This window comes from Homo sapiens, chromosome 3 (genome assembly GCF_000001405.40).
Source record: "Homo sapiens chromosome 3, GRCh38.p14 Primary Assembly".
In the NCBI taxonomy this organism is placed as follows: Eukaryota; Metazoa; Chordata; class Mammalia; order Primates; family Hominidae; genus Homo; species Homo sapiens.
In genome coordinates, this window is record NC_000003.12 from 153743003 (window position 1) to 153763817 (window position 20815).

The following is a 20815-nucleotide window of genomic DNA, read 5'->3' on the forward strand; positions in this document are numbered from 1 at the left end:
CTGCATCTAAAAGGGCAGGTTGTCTTCACCATTTATAGCATACTTCCTGTTTTCAGAGTTGCATATTAAGCATAGATGAGTCTAAAAGGGGGTAGATTCTTTGACTCTAATCCTATATTCTAAATGAAGAGGAAGTGTACGCCGAAAAATTATTGATGAAAATGGTGCTTCATCATTTATGTTTAGAAATGAATTGTAAATTTCTAATTTTACAATAATAGATTTTTAAAGGAGAAATTATATTTAGACCATTATCCTTTCAGTATGGTTACATTTTGACACAGAATTAGACTAGAAATAGAGTAATTGTCAGGGTGATTCTGAGAATATCTTGGTGTTTATTACTCAGGCTGTCTTTTAGGCTAGACTGCAAAAGCAGGTTTCTAAGCCAAGCAGTTTGCAATATAAGAGTAAGTAAAACCTAAAAGAGTAAAAACAATGTGCAAGCACAAGTCATTCACTACAATGGTTCTAGTTTCTGCAATAATGGCAGATGTGGGCTAATCATTGGGGCAACAATAGGAAATTGCACCAATGTTTCATGAAAGATTCCAGAGAGTGACCTTGATGTAGATGTCAGGGTCCTTGATGTGGAACTTCAGCATAGACCAGGAACAACAGCAGAATCTTTAGTAGGCATGGTTAGCAATGTTGTTGCTTTGGTGTTAGCAACTAGAGGAATTAGCACCAACACTATTATAAGGAAAAGGGAGGAAAAGGATGCATGGGTCATTCAAGACAATCCATCTGTGCATATGTTGAGAATCCAAAATGGGCTAGAGTTTTTAGAAGAATATGGATTTGTTACATTATTTTTACTTTAAAACCACTACGGTATAAAAACAAAATGTGAGTAATGACCCCAAAGAAGCAATAGCATAGGCAAAAATAATTTTCAAACAAAATAGATTTTGGTGGCTTGGGAACCTTGTAAAAGAAGACTATATGAGATTGTGGTGAATTCAAATAGTCTAAAGGAGTTGGGCAGACAGTAGAAAAGCAGCTATAAATGGAGAGGGGTAAAGAAGAGGAGTCAATCCTGTGTATAACAAAGCTGGGGGAGCAGAAGGAAACATATCAGAAACATGAACCCATTAAAAGTTTCCCATCACTGGTAAAGTTATGATCAAGTGATCAAAAGCACATGTATGTTTATATGGCACTTTCTTTGAACTAGCACTGTACTAAGCACTACAGGGGTACAAAGAAATGACTGGTACTTTTCCTTCTAGTCTTGCAGGTGATAGCTGAGGTTGGTGATGGGGTTCTTAGGAACATACAGACAAAAATGAGTGATAAAGTAGGGCAGATTACAAAGAAGGAGTAAAAATAGAAAAAATCTTATCACAGTAAGGTCAGGAAAAAATGAACTTCAAAAGATAGGAAAGATAAAGTGTTCTTGAAATATATAGGCCTCAAATATATATAGTTGGGTTTTGTGTTGTTATTAAATATGGGCACCCTTTTAGCCCCTTTTACTCTCTATCTAATTGAAAGCATTATCGAGCCACTGTATATTCTATAAAATATATTTTTAGAATGAAAAAGTATCCAACAATTGGAGAAAACCTAAATTAGTAACCTTTTGAAAACCTAAGACAACATATTTAATATGAAAAATACAAACTGGTGAAACAAACTCACACAGCATAAAAGTCTTGAGGGACAAAAATGTAAAACCACAAAAAAAAATTTAACATCAATGAAGAGGACAGAATCCCAGGTAAAGATTTATTTTGAAAATCCTGACAGTCTAAATGAGTTGCCCTCTACAGAAGTGTCTTTTTGGTTTTTACAAGTTTAATCATTTATTTTAAATTCAGAAAATATATTTTTAGTCCCTTTAAAACTAGATTGGTTACCACCAGAATGATACGGAAAAAATGTTCTTGGTCATAGGATGGTGAAACTAAATAATAATTTCAAGCATAATTAACGGTGTTTTAATATTGTTATACATAGTATATGTCAGATTCATTACCTCCTTTGCATTTATAATAAGCATTTAAATAGGCAGCTCCATAGTTCCTATAGGAGGAGCAGGAATTTGAACCAAGCAGAATCCTGAACCACAGGAATCTGGAAGGCACTGTCTCATACCCTCAAATAGGCTCATCGTCACAGAGTCAAATTTACTTGTAATTCAAACAAGTCCTTCCTCTAAAAACATAGGTTTATTTCTAAAAACCTCCCCAATTTTCCCTCTGCAAACTGCTGCTTCAGATATTATTTTTATAGGATTTTATTCGTGGGCAGATCCCTGATGATGCTGGAAAAAAAACCCACTTCTCAGCAAATTTGAGTATTTAACATTAGCTCATCATAAAAGATTTGTGGAGAATCTTTATGCATCAGAATAAAACCCTTTGTAACCAAGAATCTTTATAAACACCGTGGAAGTCTGAGTCCAGCATGGTTAATTACTGAGAAGATTTTCCCATTGTTAGCCATATCAGGCAGGATTACATTAGATTCTTAATTTGTTTCACTTTCATAATCTCTTTAGAGCTTTCTAGATATCATTCTCCTTTGTTAAATGAACAAATGGATTTGGGTTATTATGTAGGAGCTTATGCTTTGTAAGTGTACGTTGTGATGTTTCCTATCACAGAGGGCTTATGTGTTTAAGAATAGAAATAATGTTATTTACACAAAATTAATTCAACTTTATAATGGTTTTCCAATGCTTTTGGATAACACTATGAAAATTGTGTTTTAAAAATCACATCTTTATCCTCCTGTTTAACACAAAGAAATGGTACTATACTAGAAAATAAAGAGAATATGAAATGTAAAGAAAAATTTACTTTTAATAAACCTAGAAGATGCATTTATGAGTTAGAATAACAATAATATGAGCAAATTCAGAGAATATTGTAATTCAGAGAATTCTCATTCAGAGAATTTATTATTTCCATCAATATAATGGAAATAATCAGAGGAAGATGGCTATGGTTGCAGAGTTCAGACTAATCTGGCAATATTTCCAAAGTAGGCAATGCAATGTAACATCCCTTGATTGAAGCATCAGGATGTGTGGGCTAAGCATGGGAGCTTCTATGAACCAATATGGCAATAACAAATCAGGGCATTTAAGGCTGAAAAACTATCCTAATGACATGCTGTATTTTCAGAAAGCATTTAGTCGGTGGGACAGAGCAAAAGATCACAACATAAATGTAGGGATACCTGCAGTTGCTTATTTATGACACATGAATAAGGAAAGAAATAGAAAACTCAAACAGCAAAGAACATTAACCAAAATAATTTTGCCACAGAATAGATAACCAAAAATATTGTCATAAATAAAAAAAACTTAATGAAATTATTGTCTATATAAAGCAATCACTCAAAAAAAAGGTCCAAAGGTCATGAAATATGAGAGTTTACAGCCAAAGGCGGGAGATATGAACTGAAACAACTTAGGAAAGTGGAATAGAAAGTAAGATCGCTATAGAAATGCAGGACACATTAGCAGAATCACACAGTACAAAATGCTGCAAGGAACGTGGAGAATAATATTGAAAACAGCAAGCAAAATTAAATGGAAATGAAGTTAAAGAGACTAGAGAAAAAGTGATTACTATAGAAGGCAAACAAACCAATATACATATAAATTGTTCTCCTAAATGTGATAATGACAATGACAAAACACAACAAATATTTAAAAATATAATAAAGAAAACTTCTCAGAAATATACAACATTATAATGATACATCTAAAAACAGAAAGAACACAGCATGTGTTGGGGGAAAATGAATAGAGAATTATTGGTATTAAGATAATAAAGTAACTGGACTTCAAGATAAAGAAAGAGTATACTAATACTTTTTAATTGATACTGTAAATGTGTAAGTATAAAGATAACCATACTTATTAATGGTAAATCATCAGGCTAGTCTCTGAAAGTTTCACAGGAACACTAGAAGACCATGGAGTAACGTCTACAATGTTCTCAAAAGAAGAGAATGTGTGACAATAATTTTATACACACCCGAATTCTCATGCAACAGTGAGGGCAACAAACTTTTTAAACATGCAAGAACTCAGAATATAGAAGAGTAAATTTTAGCTACTCAAGAAATAAATGAAGACACAGTTATAAAAAAGACTGAATTAATGTGAATTTCCTTTAACTCTAAGACTAAGGCTAAACAATGATAAAGATGACAATTACTGAACAAAATGTGAAACTTAAAAATACTAAGAGAATTCTTTCACTTGCTTGGTCTCTTTCTCATATTTAGTAGAAGTATGTCTTCCATGTGTAGAAAATCCTTGAGTATACAGGGATACCTCAAAGATGAAGAAGCACTGAGATAATGTAAGCTTGAGTTATAAAGAAGTTATGTTCCATTTAGATTACCAGGAAAGGAAAGCCTGTGAGGCTCAGGTAAGAGGACCTTACAAAAATAAGAGCTATATATTTGTTTGTGTACTCTGTGTATTCTTTCTCAGAAACCGAAGCTGGTGACTGGTGTACAGGATAACACGACACCTCATATGCACTAGATTAGAGCACAACTTGATTAAGCATCAAGTACACTCTCCTATTGATTGTCTCCAGGGTTTAAGAGAAAATACACACCAGTTTACTAGTGCTCCAAAACTGAGAGGATCACTGGTTTCATAAAATGCATGGTAAAATATAACTGAATGTTTTAAAAAACTCACATCATTTCAAATATCAATTTTTGTTGGTCTTTAGTGTTTATGTTAGAAGTCACCAGAATAAGTATTTGCTGATTCTAGGCAAATTGAAAATGTCCTTGGTTTTGAAAATAAATTCACTCTGAGCACGTTTTTATGTATCAAGTTTCTATTTAACCATCACAGTTTGAATTCTGATTAATGTATGTTCATAATAATAACCTATGTGTATCAAGCATTTGCTATATGTCATAAATGCTATGTTCTAAGTGCTATATTCTAAGTGCTTTTTACATACTATCTAATTAAGTCTCTTTATTTCTTGGTGAGGTAGGTACTATTATTAAGCACATTTTAGAAAAGAGAAAAATGGAGTACACTGCACAGAAAAGAGTGGTACAAAGTCATAAATACTAATCCCTGAAACAGAAAACCTACATTCACATTCCACATCTGTCATTTAGTGCTGTTTTGAAGAAGTCATTTAGAATGAGGTTTCAGTAGTTTCGATTATAAAATAGTAATAATAGTAGTGATAGTAATAACAATGATAAAAAAAGTCTTACCTACTTTACAGTGTTGTTTTGAGGATAAACACATAATGTACCTGAAAATGCTTTAAATATAAAACATTATACCAATTTATGAATAATATTATTATTGTTATTATTATTAGGTGGTTAAAATTCTCCAGCTGGTCAGCTCAGGTATAATTAGCAACACTATGAATGGCTTTTATATCCTTAAACGTGACAGGGTTACACTGTTTTTCAATATAGCTAAAATTCAGTAGTTCTACAAATCATTTTTTTTTCTACAAAGTGAATCTAAAATTCTGGTTTATGAATGATCCATGGAAGGAGAGTTCAATCTCTCAAGGGATCTTTATCTCAAAAGTTTTAAGGACCACTGATAGTGGAATGAATTGCCTAAGCAGTTGTTGGAGGTATTTAAGTCACAAGGAGCTGCAGATTTTAAATGTATGTGCTAGCAAATTCATAGTTATGTTATCTCCATTATCTCTAGGTCCCTTGAACTTTCCCTCTTTTCTAAAATAAGTGCACCAACCTAAGAATGATGCCAAGCATAAATGATTCAGACTAATTAATTAGAAACTGTTTCTCATGGTTACAAATTGAGTACAAATTATTCCAGCAGTCGAGATAGAGCTTTGCAAATATTCCATATGTTTACAATTTGTAAGAGTTTTCTTCCTTCGTTTTAATAGTAAGCTGTTTTTACTCTTGTGTTCCTGAAGACACTTTGTTACGAGGATTTTACTTAAAATGAACTAATATTTCAGATACATTTTGCATATTTTATGTTTCAGTCCTCTTTCCTACTTATCCTTATTCTTCTCAAGCTGGCATTAAGGAGAAAATCATGCTTTCCTAGAGAAAAGCAACTTCAGTACAGAGGTTTCCAAAATTATTACTAACACAAAATTATTTTAATAACTGGCAGAGATAATTCCAGCATTGCCTGTCAAGCCTACAAACATTTAGAAATGATAAGCTGTAGAAGGGTGAGACTCAAGTCCCATTGTTCTGAAAGCTAAGCTTATCTCCTTTATTTGATACTAGCTTCACTTTATTATTTTATATCTCTACAGTTTTATGATTTCAATTATACAGCTTTGATGTATACTTTCCTTTCTCCTCTATTCTGGTGTATCTTATATGGGCATAAAATGCCCATGCAGGCACCCTTTAAATGGCTGACTGCCAGGACTGGTTTCCAAACTCTTGAATTCTTTTCTCATCTCATGCTTTGAATTTGGAAGTGAAATCCATTTGTTTCCACTTGTTCATTTGTTTTCTTTGGCCTGATGTAGCTCAAGTGCCATTAAGTGTTTCTATGATGTCTAAACATAACCGAAGAAGAGAAGTACAAGATATGTTACAAGAGGAGAGGGAGCAGTAATGTCATGGAATTTCAGAAAGCTATCACACACATGCTCAATATTTTCCTCTCTACTTTTGGCTATTTACCCTCAAATCCTTTTAGTGTATAGTCAATTCCACCTTCATTAATTGTATCTTACTTATTAATAGTTAAAATAAAAATTTAATATTAAAATGTCTGACCGAATAAAACTGTTGTCTTTATATTAGGGAAATTTCAAGCCTTTCTTGTTTTTCATTATAGATAATGATTTATCTGAGTTCTAGCCCATAAAATCTCCTAATCCTATTAAGGTGAGTCTTATTTAAAAATCTAAATATAAAAGTTACAGTAGATTGTTACATTGGAATTAATGTAACAATCTACTGATCTACTTACATTCTACTTACTGATCTACTTACAATCTACTGATTGTTACATTAATTCCAATGTAACAATCTACTGTAACTTTTATATTTAGATGGAATCTCCAATTCTTCACCCCTCCCTTCATCAACAACCTGCCATATGATGACTTCCCCCCAAAATAGGTGAAATACATTTCCATACCCCTGGATTTTGAATTAAGCTTATGACCTGCTTTCATCAATGGGATGTTAACAGTGATAACATATGTTGGACTTGAGAAGAAAGCACTTAAGCATCTGCCACAGCTCTTGCAGATGAACATAGCCAGGTTAGCTTGCTAGTGGTTGGAAGACATATGGAGTAGGACCGCATCAACAAAGTCATTCCAGCCAAGGTCATCCTCCATCAGATAAGACTTGCTCGTCACAAACATTTGAGTAGGCCAGAGAAGATCAGCAGAGCTATCTAGTCACTCTAGCTGCCTTCAGATGCAGGAGAAGCCCAGCTAAGAACACATGAGTAATTACTGTGAGACAAATAAATAATATATTGTTTTAAGCTTTTAAGGTGTTGTAGTTCTTTCCTATGCAATATTATTGTGGTGATAGATAACTGATATCTATGTGTATAGACACAAAATATACATATACATAAACATACACATACATGATTTTATAAATACTTAAAAATGTGTTGGAGGGTAAAAAATGTTTTTTTGGAATAGTTATGAGTAGCATTTAAATATATGTAAGCAATTTTATGGTATATTTTGAAACATCAATGTTACAGTCACAGAAATACACCATTTTTCCTAAAGGTACTCTACCTAAAACCCCTTTGTCTAAAAGGAGTTTTCCAAATACTGAAACCTCCTTTCAGTGTGTTTGTATATATTGAATGATCTCTTCTTTACTTTTTATATTTTGGGAGAAATTTAGCATTTTAATTATTTAGTTCTCAGGATACTTTTATCTTAATTGTATGTATCTAATAAATATTTAATTTGTAACACTTTGGGTAAGTTGGAAATATTTTGTTTCTTTATAGGTTTTATTTAATGTTTTATTCATTTTTAATATGTTAATAGCGAATTAGTCAGAAAAACCTCTTTTCAATAAAAAAGGTTAACAATCAATTTCTGCCAATAATATTGTCATTAATATAATCAATTATGGGATTTGCAATTTTGATGCAATTTAATTATAAGTTGTTCTATGAATTGTATTTTTAACCCAGTGTTTCTTTATAGAATAAATACCTTGAAAAACTTGTAACTCTCATTTGACATGCTGTAAACCTGAAACGTCTTTAACTCTTCAAAAATGGAATATTTCAAATTAAAGTCAAGTGTTTAAAAACAGATACAATGGGGGAAGTGATAAACAATGGCACTCTCATCTTCATAAAATGCTATACATTTGATAAACATGTAGTATAAATATTTTTAAATACGTTAAATGCGTTGGAGTGAACTGAAACTTAATTCTCTTTATCTTGTCCTGCTGCTATCCAAGTGGTCAAAGCAACAACTTGGGAATCAGAAAGAAGCAATTGTAGGCACGGTACCATTTATGTTCAGTTATTGACAGGAAATACTAAAATGTATAACAAAACAGAAGGAGGACAAAGTAGATTCTTAATAAAGCTAATGTAGCTATTTTGCACACACACACACATATTCACACACACACACACACACACACACACACACACAGAATCAGTATACATCCATCCCTAGAAAGAATACAGATTTCCCACGTAAATTAGACAGGGGAATATAAAAATTAATTTTTAATTGTCAGCCGGGCGCGGTGGTTCATGCCTGTAATTCCAGCACTTAGGGAGGCCGAGGCGGACAGATCGCCTGAGGTCAGGAGTTCGAGACCAGCCTGGCCAACATGGTGTAACCCTATCTCTACTAAAAATACAAAATTAGCCAGGCATGGTGGCGCGCACCTGTAATCCCAGTTACCCAAGAGGCTGAGCCAGGAGAATCACTTGAACCTGGGAGGTGGAGGTTGCAGTGGGCCGAGATCGCGCCACTGCACTCCAGACTGGGCAAAAAGAGTAAAACTCCATCTCAAAAAAAAAAAAAAAAAAAAAAAAAATATATATATATATATACGTACATATATATACACATATCTATACACATATATATACACATATATATACACGTATATATACACACATATATACGTATATATATACACATATATATGTCAAAATATATTAAATTTTAGATACTTGAGAAGACAGCCATCCAATGCCCATAGTCAACACCCTTTAATCCTTCTTCCCCTGTTGCCATTCATGAGGCCAGGTTGGTTCCACAATGGAAAAGCTCTTTATAAGCTATAAAATGCTGTACACATATAAACTCTTGGGATTACAGATTTTGAAATTTACCCCAAAGATATATTGTGTTTTGCTTATTCAGAAGGAATGGTGCTATGTTGCAAACAACAGCAGAAGCATCAATAGTGTTGGATAAACAATTCCAGTTAGGCCCATTTTTCATGGTGATATGATCTGAAACACTCTCATCGTCTAATTTAAAATACTCACGAAGATATATTAAATTGTAAAAACGTTCAGGATTACAGAAAACCAAGCATGTGGATGTTGAGAGAAAGGGGTGAGCGGTTCTACTAGTTGCGGTTCAGTAGGGTTAGACTGAGAAACACAACTGACTCAGTCACAAGCCATTGGAAGCTACCTGAGACCATACCAATAAAAAAAGCTAAAGTACCACTGCAATCAATCAGACATCAGTGCCAATTTACTGGGCTTTCCTTATGTAACTGCTGAAATGCAATTTGATTATACTACCACTGAAGTAGACGGTGCCCCCATGTAGACACTTGTTTCAAAACACTCCTCACTTGCACCATCCTGTCTTGCTTGAGTGGTTCTGCAATTCAGACAGCAAGTTTGCTGTGCACACATTGCAACTGCTGGCAAGCCTACCCTTAACTCAGAAAGCAGCCAGCTGAGAGCTAGCCAACATTGAGGAGACATTGTCAGCAGAAATTTTGAACCAAAATCATACACACGCAGAGCAATGACCAGCGGTGAGTGGCAGGTTTTATCATTCAAGTTTTAAACATTTAATCTGCCTTCTAGAAAGGCAACTGGTTCAGGGACTTTCAAAAGAAAACAGACAGAACAATGAATACGGACCAGTAGGGAACATTTTTTTTCCACCGTGAAAACAAGCAAAAAAAAAAACTGTAAATGTATTTTGAATAAGATTGTAATTCTATCCAATTCACCTCTATCCTTAGTGACTGAAAGTGACTAAAATTCTATAAGCTATGAGTAACAGAAAGATTGTAAAAGGTAATTCTCAATATAATAAAATACTCTGTCATGTTCAGTACATAAAATGTAAGTTACTTAATTTAAACATACAGAAATCAGTAGGTAGTTCATTAATTTAAAATAGGCCTGTTCCTGCCCACAGTAAATAAATCTAAATAAATATTTAAAGAATGTCTACTTGAAATGACAATAAATCAGTAGGCTGTGCAATGTAGTATTGTGTTCTAGGCAGATTCTATTAAATATATAATCCTTGACTAAGTATATCCAAATCTCTGGACTAGCATAGAAGCTATGGCTGGAAATAAGATATAGATATAGATATAGATACAGATATTTAAAATCAACAAAACACTAAGTCCCTGTCTGGCATTCAGTGTCTGTCTCTAGTTCAGGGATTCTGTGGTTGCTCTAGTCACAAATCCAATAAAACACCCTCTTTCCTGCATGGGAAATATTTTTTAAACTTGTCATTCAAATTCACAAACCTGGAAGCACACAAATGATAAAGATGTTAGCAAATTTTATGCCAGGATATGAAGTCACCTCAAAATAAGTGGATATGCAAAAGCAGAAAGAAAAAGTTCCAGGAGCTGTTCTTGGCAATGGGGGTTTACGAGTGTAGCAATTATAAAAACAAAAAACCAGGCCAGGTGTGGTGGCTCACGCCTATAATCCCAGCATTTTGGGAGGCCAACGTGGGCAGATCATTTGAGGTCAGGAGTTCAAGACCAGCCTGACCAACATGGAAAAACCCTGTCTACTAAAAATACAAAGAATTAGCTGGGTGTGGTAGTGCACAACAGTAATCCCAGCTACTCAGAGGCTAAAACAGGAGAATTGCTTGAACTCGGGAGGCAGAGACTGCAGTGAGCTGAGATCACGCCACTGCACTCCAGCCTGGGTAACATACAGAGACTCCGTATCAAAACAACAACAACAACATAAACCAACAAACAAGGACAGCAAGATGAAACAAGATACATATAATCTGAACACCAGAATTAACACAAAGCTCGGCCATACACACAACAATGACCCCTCCCAGACCTAAACCTGACAAAGGGATTCTACCAGTACTCAAGGGGAAGGAAAAGGGTTAGGATACTGCAGTTATCATACATGTTAGCTAAACTAAGACAATGCTAGGTGATGTCTCATTGTTCAACTACTAAAAGCAGATTTTCTCCAGCCCACAGGAAAATGAACATTAGCTAGAACATGAAAAAGAAAGAGAATTTACTTCTGAAGAGGATTGATATGGTTTGGATCTGTGTCCCCACCCAAATCTCAGCTTGAATTGTAATAATTCCCACATGTCAAGGGCAAGGCCAGGTGAAGTAATTGAATCATGAGGGCGGTTTCCCCCATGCTGTTCTCGTGAGTGAGTCTCACAAGATCTGATGATTTTATACATGTCTGGCATTTCCCCTGCTTGCACACATTCTCTCTCCTGCTGCCCTGTGAAGAGGTGCCTTTGGCCATGATTGTAAGTTTCCTGAGGCCTCCCCAGCCATGCAGAAACTTGAGTCAATTAAACATCTTTTCTTTATACCAGTTTTGGGTATTTTTTCATAGCAGCATGAGAACAGACTATTATATTAAATTATTATAATATATATAATTTCATTATATTATTATATTAATACTAGATTAAGTTTAAAAAACTGTTAACCTTCTCAGGAAACTTGTACAGATGCTCCTTAACTTATGATGGGGTTGGGTCCTGATAAACCCATTATATGTTGAAATATTGTAAGTTGAAAGTGCCAATATTTTCAGTGTAGGATTGGTTTATCTGGATGTATTACTTTTGTACCGTTATAAAGTTGAAAAATCAGAAGACAAACCATCATAAGTTGGAGACGATCTGTATTATTTTTGCTTTGTACAGTGAATAATTGCTTAGATTTACTCACATAGTTACCATTTTGTTACTTTTCATTCCCTCCTGGATTTCCATGTTTCTATCTGAAATATTCTCCCTTATTCTCGAGGAATCCCCTTTCGTATTTCTTGTAGTGCTGGCTTCCTGGTGAAGAATTCTCAGAATCTTTGCCTGCAGATATTTTTTATTTCGCCTCTACTTTTGAAGAAGCTTTTCACTAAGAATTCTAGGTTGGCAGTCACTTTCTTTTTGTATTTTAAAGATATTATTCCATTGTCTGACTTTTATTGATTCTTTTGAGAAGTCAGTCATTAGTTTTATTGCTGATATAGTGAATAATAATACATCTTTTAGTCTCAGGCTGTTCTGTTTTTTATATTTTATTCCCCTGCCTTTGGTTTGAAACAGTTGTACTATGATGAAGTTAGGACTTTTTTAAAATTTCTAATTTGTCTCTACTTTGGTTCACAGCTGTTCATGAAACTTTAGTTTGTTTATTCTCATCAATTTTGAAACATTCTCAACCATTTTGTCTTCAAATATTGCTCCTGCACCATTCACTTTCTTTCTCTGTTATTTCAACTAAAAATATAGAACATCCTCATTGTGTTTAGTGTCTTTTATGAACTTTTCGTATTTCCCATTCTTTTACTTTCTGTGCTTGAGTCTTTCTTGACATGCAACTGTATACCCTTTCTTTAGCCGTGACACTCTGCTGTCAAACACATCTATTGAATCTTTAAGTTATTCTTTCAGTTCTACAATTTCTCTTAATAAGTTTCGTGTCTCTGGTTAAATTGCTCATCTCATCCTCTATTATCTTAAACACAGTAATCAGCAGAAACTTAAAATCTTGCTTTGTCTTCTGCGGTAGTCTGCATCAGCCACGAGGCTAATTCTATTGTCTTTTCCTTTTGGACATGTTTCTTGGTATGTATGGTATTTTTTTTAATGAATTCTAGTCATTGTGCATAAAAAATTTGAGAGGCACGGCCGGATGTGGTGGCTCATGCCTGTAATCTCAGCACTTTGGGAGGCCAAGGCAGGTGGATCACCTGAGGTCAGGAGTTCAAGACCAGCCTGGCCAACATGGTGAAACCCCGTCTCTACTAAAAATACAAAAAATTAGCTAGGCATGGTGGCACATGCCTGTAATCCCAGCTACTTGGAAGGCTAAGACAGGGGAATCACTTGAACCTGGGGGCAGAGCTTGCAGTGAGCTCAGATTGCACCATTGCACTCCAGCCTGGGCAACAGAGTGAGACTCCGTCTCAAAAAAAAAAAAAAGAAAAAAAAATTGAGAGGCTCTAGATGATGATATATCCCTCCAGAAGCCACTCATCTCATTTTCTGACAGACAACTGGAATGCTAGGAGGTTTTCTCAATGTAACTGACTGAGACTGTGTCAGATATTGAAAGGCTTCATTCTATCTCCTCGAATGTAGGACCACCACCCTTCTCCCCAGGGATTCCTTAATGAGAGTATGGGATGTTTACCAAGGCTCCTTTTGGGATATTCTTTACTCCAATTTTTGTCTTACTAGCAAAAAAGTGACACTGCTGACATCTTTGCTGGATTTCCACTTTTTGCTTAGATTTGGATTTCTTGATCTATGTAGCCTACACACAAAAAAATACCTGGAGGGCAAATAGCCACTTATATTTTATCACTCCCAAGACATCTCCCTGTACTTCATTTATCTCCAGAATCTTGGACCTCAAGTCCTGCCATCACTGGTCTCTACTTCTATTTTTGTTTCCCAAGCCCCATGGAATTGCTCAAAATTCTGCTGGGTTTCTTGCCCCTTAGCATTTGCCCTCAGACTCTCACTGCACCAAGCTTAAGAATTGGCTCATGCCCCAAGAGTAATGCTACATTACTCAGTCCACATTACTCATTGTGGACTCTCCTCAGTGAGCTGTTCATCTCAAAAATACTGGGCCAAGTCCTGGCTTGGCTTCTGAGAAGCTCCACAACACCCTCAGACAGGTTGAATTTGAGTGAATGTGTGTATACATTGTATCCATTTTCTGATTGTTCTCAGTGGGAGCATTTTGTCTGCTATAAATTCTTCCATCTTAGACAAAAGCCAGGAGGCTTTAAATTGCTAGTGGGAGTTCCTTATAATACAAATAGGAAAAAGAAAGAGAGAGAGAGAGAGAAAAAATGGATGGCTTCCCAAAAAGTATATAAAAGAAAGAGAAGTATGTGGTAGCAGTTTCCAGAGTTTCCAGATACATCTCCTACCCCCTGGTGGGACCTATAATCTTTGACACTGCCACATTGTGCCATAGTATCAGCTACATGATTGATGATGTGATCCCAGCTAGTTGGATATTCCTGATTTCATCTACCTAAATATATGACCTGAATATGAAAATCTCTTCAACTCCCTCCCAGCTTTATAATGTGTTAACTAACTGATAGTTCTTTAATGACTTCAATGGTTTATTCATATGTCATAAGCTGACAATTAAATTCCTTGTTGATCAAACCACGTAGTAGGTAAAGTCAAGGGGAAATCTACCTGCCCTCTTAATTTTTTTCATTTCGTTTATGCAGGAGGACGTTGTCTCTCAGCTCTAAGTAACATGCCATAGTGGTATTTATTTATTGTTTTCATGGAAGCAGTTTTGATTTTCAAATAAATGTGCATAGAAGAGATATTTGAAAAAAAAAAAGACAAGATTGCTTCCACCTTTATTTTGCAATTTTGCATTCAATGCTTTAAAAACAAATTTCCCTAAATAATCTGTTACTCTTTGGTGACTTAAGGAATAAAATAACCTGGTCAATGCACTGATTAACAGACCTTTAACACTGGCATAAAATTGTATTTGTAAAAACATGACATTCTTTATAAGTTTTATCACTCCTCAGGAATCTGTATTCTGCTAAACTACCAGGAGTGTCTCACTTTTCCTCAGACTAGCTCTTGCTGACAGTGGTACTGCACTGGGATATATTCAAAATTTCTTAATATGATAACTTGTTAGATTTTCCTAGAAGTTTAATTTAATGTTTATAAAAGTAGACAGTTCCTATTTAAGTAGATATTAATAGGAGATATACATCATATCTCGGTCTTATAAGCTCGGTTAAAACGTCTCCCCTTTGCCCTCTTTAGCGAAAATCAAAGCTGTGAATTTGCTTTGTCTGGTAATAGACTAATACCAAGCGCTTACCTCCCCCTTACCCCCTGAAAAATTTGTTCCTATTTCAGCTTAATTTTTCCTCAAAAGAAAATGTTTCCTCCATCACTTTCCCTCATACCCACGGGGTATGTTCATAACATTTCTAACTTTGTTAAATATCTTTTTTCTTTTCTTTTCTTTTTTTTTTTTTTTTTTGAGGCGGAGTCTCGCTCTGTCGCCCAGGCTGAAGTTCAGTGGCGCCATCTCGGCTCACTGCAAGCTCCGCTTCCCGGGGGTTCACGCCATTCTCCTGCCTCAGCCTCCTGAGTAGCTGGGACTACAGGCGCCCACCACCACGCCCGGCTAATTTTTTGTATTTTTTTAGTAGAGACGGGGTTTCACTGTGTTAGCCAGGATGATCTCGATCTCCTGACCTCGTGATCTGCCCGCCTCGGCCTCCCAAAGTGCTGGGATTACAGGCGTGAGCCACCGCACCGGGCCTGTTAAATGTCTTAATTTCTGACTAAGCATGAAAAACTAAGTCAAAAAAGGTTCATTAAACTAGCCTTGTAGCTGGAAGATTACTGAGTTATCTTTCTATTCTTGCTTTGTACTATTGTCAACTAATAATTTTATAAACTAATTCTAATTTTAATTTTCAGCAATGGGGTGGATTAAATAAGAAATATTTAAACCAACCCCTTTTATAAGACACCTAGAAATATGAGAGGAAAAAATATATAGTAAATGTCCCTGTAGACATATAGGTGAAACCATGAGAATGTAATGAAAAATCCTCAGAAGGCTAAAATGAAGAGGTCACTGCAAACCAGATAAGCAATACGCTAAAGTTTCAGGAATCTTTAGGAGTTTGATTGGTTAGAACAATGAATTTAAGGTTTTTTTAAGCCCATGCCAAAGCACAAAACAAGGCAAAGCATCCACTCAAGACAGGGAGGTGGAGAACAGATTGCAAATAAAGCTGAGACTCCTCTCCTGCTCCATTATGGGATGAATTGTATCCCCCTAAATTCATATGTTGAAGTCCTAATTCCTAGTACCTCATAATGTGACTATATTTGGCAATAGAGTCTGTAAAAAGGTGATTAACTTAAAATGAGGCTGTTAGGTTGCATCTTAATGCAACCTAACTGGTGTCCTTATTAGGAAGTTTGGACACAGAGAGAGGGACTTACACACACAAAGAAAAGACCACCTGAAAACATAATGAGAAGGTGGCCATCTGCCAGCCAAGAAGAGAGGCCTCAGAAGAAATCAAACCTGCGAACATCTTGAGTTAGGACTTCCAGCCTCCAGAACTGTGAGAAAATAAATATCTGTTGATTGAGGCATTTGATCTGCAATAGTTCATTATGGCAGCCCTAGCAAATTACCTCCCTAAAAAACTACATTCTTAGTAAAAGGAAGGATGAGAGAAATTGCAACCACCATTAATGGGAGATAACAAAGAACTTTGCCTGTCTCCACAAGGGTGGAAGAAAAAGTCTCCCCTAGTACCTGTAACCACAGTGCTGTACCTCATGCAGTTTTGAGATTCACATTTAAACTACCTGACAAAACAAGAAATTGACATAAGAAGTAGTCACAATTTCAAATAGGGTATCTACCAAAGTTCTCACTATATAGCATTTGAATAAAGACTTGAAAGAGGTGAAGGATGAAATAATGTTGGTGTCTGGAAAAGAATGTTAAAGGTAGAGAGAAACAATAACTTAATCCCCTGAGTGAGCCTAGAACCTGCAGTGACTCCTATTGGGTCATCCTCAGACCCTCAAACGTATGCTTCTCTCTCGTTTTATGCTGTGCTTCTCCACACTGGGCCCTTGGATGTATGACAAGTTACTGAACCATGGGACAGCAACACTTGGGAACCAAAGAAAACACAGAAATTGGTAACACCAGGCTCACTTCACAGTAGATCTGGGCCTCAGGTTTGGCCTAACAACTGCAAACGCAGGACTGCTCTGCAGGGCATCTTCAAACAGCAAGACCAATTTGAACATCGATTGAGCACTTCTACAGGCCAGACATTAAGTTCAAAGACACAAAGCATAGTATGAAATATTCTCACATATGTCTCTTAGGAGTTGTGGAAGAAAAGTGTAAAGAAAATGGGAAAAGATTAATGTTTCCAAGGCTAAGAATTCCCCCAAATTGATTAAAATATAAAACCATATATTCAAGATCAACAGGTCCTAAACAGAATATTAATAATAAATTCAAACCTAGATACATACTTAAAACAGCAAAACTCCAAAAAATAGACAAAATCTTACAATAATAATTTAAAATAACCCTTCACCTTTCTTTAAAATTGCTTCCAACCCTTAACAGATAAAAACCAAACACTCATTCAGGGGTGCATGACTTTTCTCAAACTGGACCAACTCTACTACTTATTTTTCTACCATTTCCAATAAGTACATCTTCAGTTCATAACCTTTGCATGTCATGTGCCTTCTAAACTCAGTTTTCTCATTTTTCTTTTTCCAGAGTACCCTCCTCTCTGTCATCATCACTTAAAATCTTATCCATGGTACGAGACCATCCTGGCTAACATGGTGAAACCCTGTCTCTACTAAAAATACAAAAAATTAGCTGGGCGTGGTGGCAGGCGCCTGTAGTCCCAGCTACTTGGGAGGCTGAGGCAGGAGAATAGTGTGAACCTGGGAGGCAGAGCTTGTCGTAAGCCAAGATCGCGCCACTGCACCCAGTCTGGATGACAGAGTGAGACTCAGTCTCAAAAAAGAAAACAAAAACAAACAAAAAAAAAAACAAAAAAACTCTTACCCATGGTATAATTTACAGGCTGATCTCACCTCCATCTTGAGACCTTTCTTAGTCATCCCAGCTTAGGTCTGTGACACTCACTATGCCACACACCCACATAAGGTCTTGCATTGTTCCTGCTTAGGGACATATGTCTCCTTGTTCAAGTGAACTAAGGTCTCTTAAATGATGAGTACAATGACAATGGTTTAAAGCCGTAGTTCTGACTTTTGGATCTAACAGATTTGTAAGATTCAAGGTGATAAAGCATTTCCAGCTTTTCTTTTTGCTGAAAGTACGTCAAAAATCCTACAACCATCTACTATCTATGTCATGTTATAAGAGAAGATTTTAATAATGAAAATCTAATAAGGATATAATCTCACATAAATTGGATAAATTTACCTTAATATGAAGCTCACTATGTTTTTCTTATTTTTCTCTCTTTACTAACAATAACTAATAAAATCTTGATCAAACAACAGTCCCAGTTGCTTCCAGGCCAGCAGGTAGAAATCACTGTTCTGCTATATTCTGATTCCCTTCCTTCTTGCTCCTGGACTTTCAGCAGAGAAAAGATTTAAATAATCATTAAATAATCAAATCAAAATTATTTTTACTTCCTCACATTATCTTATTTTGATCACCCTGACCAGGTCATTGAGAGTTCTTTTTAATATATAGGTTATCAATCCAAAAAAATTTTTACCTTTTCAGAATTTTTGAAGCTTTCTGTATCTTCTTGTTGAAGAAGCAGTTTTAATGCCACTCTGTTTCATGTATTTAAGGATATATTTCAAAAACTACTTCTAGTTTTCTTTTATTGTCTCTTATGTTGACCTTTATTTCTTACTTTTTCTTTTTATTGTAACTCCAAATTTATTTGCTATTTTGTAGCAGTCTCTTTTCTCTAAGTTGGCCTGATTTTTTACTTCTGTGCTTTTCTCATTTATACTTAGATGTTTACATAACCTAATCACTTCTTTCTTCCGACAGTTCTTGTTTACAAAACAATGTTTTCCCTTGTGCACTTAGAATTAATTAGTTTTACAAAGTTAATTTTTCTATTAGTAAAGCAATACAAATTAATTACAAAATTTTTAACACTTTTTTTAAGTGAAAAAATACTTTACAAATCTTACTCTTAAAGATAATCATTGCTAACATTGTAATGTGTTCCCTTATAGACTTCTTCTGGGTATGAGCACTGCTTCCCAGTAGATAAAGGATACTATCTATCTCTCTACCTACCTACCTATCTAGTATAATTAACAAAAGACTATTAAAAGGTTTTAGATGGAAAATAATACAAAGGAAGAACCTATTTAATAATAAAATCTACCATTATTTATATTACCACCACTAGAAAATGAGACAATGAATCAAATCACATTATACAAATTTTGAATGTAAAGAAAATCATGACCTAGGTTTCTTAGCAATCAAAGTGACGATTACCTTGATCTATGCAACTCTGCTTTTGACGATGGAGAAAGAAAATGCTTTTGGCAGAAGACATACATGCAGCCAACAAGCACATGAAAAAAAGCCCAACATCGCTGATCGTTAGAGAAATGCAAATCAAAACCACAATAAGATACCTCTCACACCAGTCAGAATGGCTATTATTAAAACATAAAAAAATAGCAGATGCTGGTGAGGTGGCAGAGAAAAGGGAACACTTATACACTGTTGGTGGGAGTGTAAATTAGTTCAAACATTGTGGAAAGCAGTATGGTGATATACTTCACATACAATTTGCCTGTCTTCTTGGAAAACCTTGGCAGCCCAGAGGCCTGCAGTTGGAGGAACCATGTTACTCATTCATTCATTCATTCTCCTTCAACTGCACTCCCCACCCCATGAATATCTCACCAGCCACTGCTGATGGGACCAGCTGTTAGTATCAGAACTCAAATCTGGCCCATATATAAAGTAACTTTACTTGTTTTTGATTTTCAATTTTTCTTGGAAACTGGCCTCAGAAAATGAATCATATTACTGTGCAGGCCAAGTATACTCAAGGGTAGAGATTTCTCTTCCGAGGGTTGCAATATTGGACCACTTTCAAAGAGAAACAAAGGCAAAAGACCATGTAGCTTCAGAAAGAGAAAGATATCCATTTTTCTAGATCCGAAGACTTTCTTATACTCAGGTTCAATCTGCACAAAGCTCACCTCTACTTTCTGTCTTGGATTTCTCTGCTTTGAGCAACACTTATCTTCCCTTTCTGTTGAGCTATTTTCAGTGTATTTTTGTACCTTGCAAGTAATGACTAAATGGGGTACAAGGTAGGAAAAGAGGTAAGAGGTTTTATGTGAATTGTGGAAAGATGGATGGAGTTTCACAAAAAAGCATCAAAAAATTGGAGAGGAAGACAAAAAAGAAAAAGAATTAAAGAGAAGGAAACACTCCTCACACAGGTAAGCTTTGTCCTATATTGCAAAGTTCACTAAGAAAATACTGCAAATTTTTAAAAATATTTTATTTAACTTATTATTATTATTATTTGAGATGGAGTTTCGCTCAACTTATTATTTTTAAAGCAGGTAGTTTGAAAACAAACTGCAAAATGTAGTCTTTTCACTGTGGGCAGCACCTTATATCTCAGTTTAATTTTTTTAGCTTTGCTGGGCAGCCAGAAATTTGAGCAGAGTTTATATTCAGAATCTGAGGCTCCCTCGGATATGGTTAGGCTTTGTGTCCCCACCCAAATCAAGTCTATAAGGGAACACATTACAATGTCAAGTATATCATGACCTCTGAAATCAAT

The 20815-nt window shown here is 35.4% G+C and overlaps 1 long non-coding RNA gene across 1 annotated transcript in view; it reads right to left on the minus strand.

The window, feature by feature from the left end:
• LINC02006 (long intergenic non-protein coding RNA 2006) overlaps window positions 1-19524 on the minus strand; it is a 378977-nt gene extending 359453 nt beyond the window's left edge. Inside the window, exon 1 of the long non-coding RNA NR_146713.1 lies at window positions 19501-19524. This is a non-coding gene — a long non-coding RNA (long intergenic non-protein coding RNA 2006). The remainder of the gene's footprint in view (window positions 1-19500) is intronic.
• Window positions 19525-20815: the final 1291 nt, after the last annotated feature.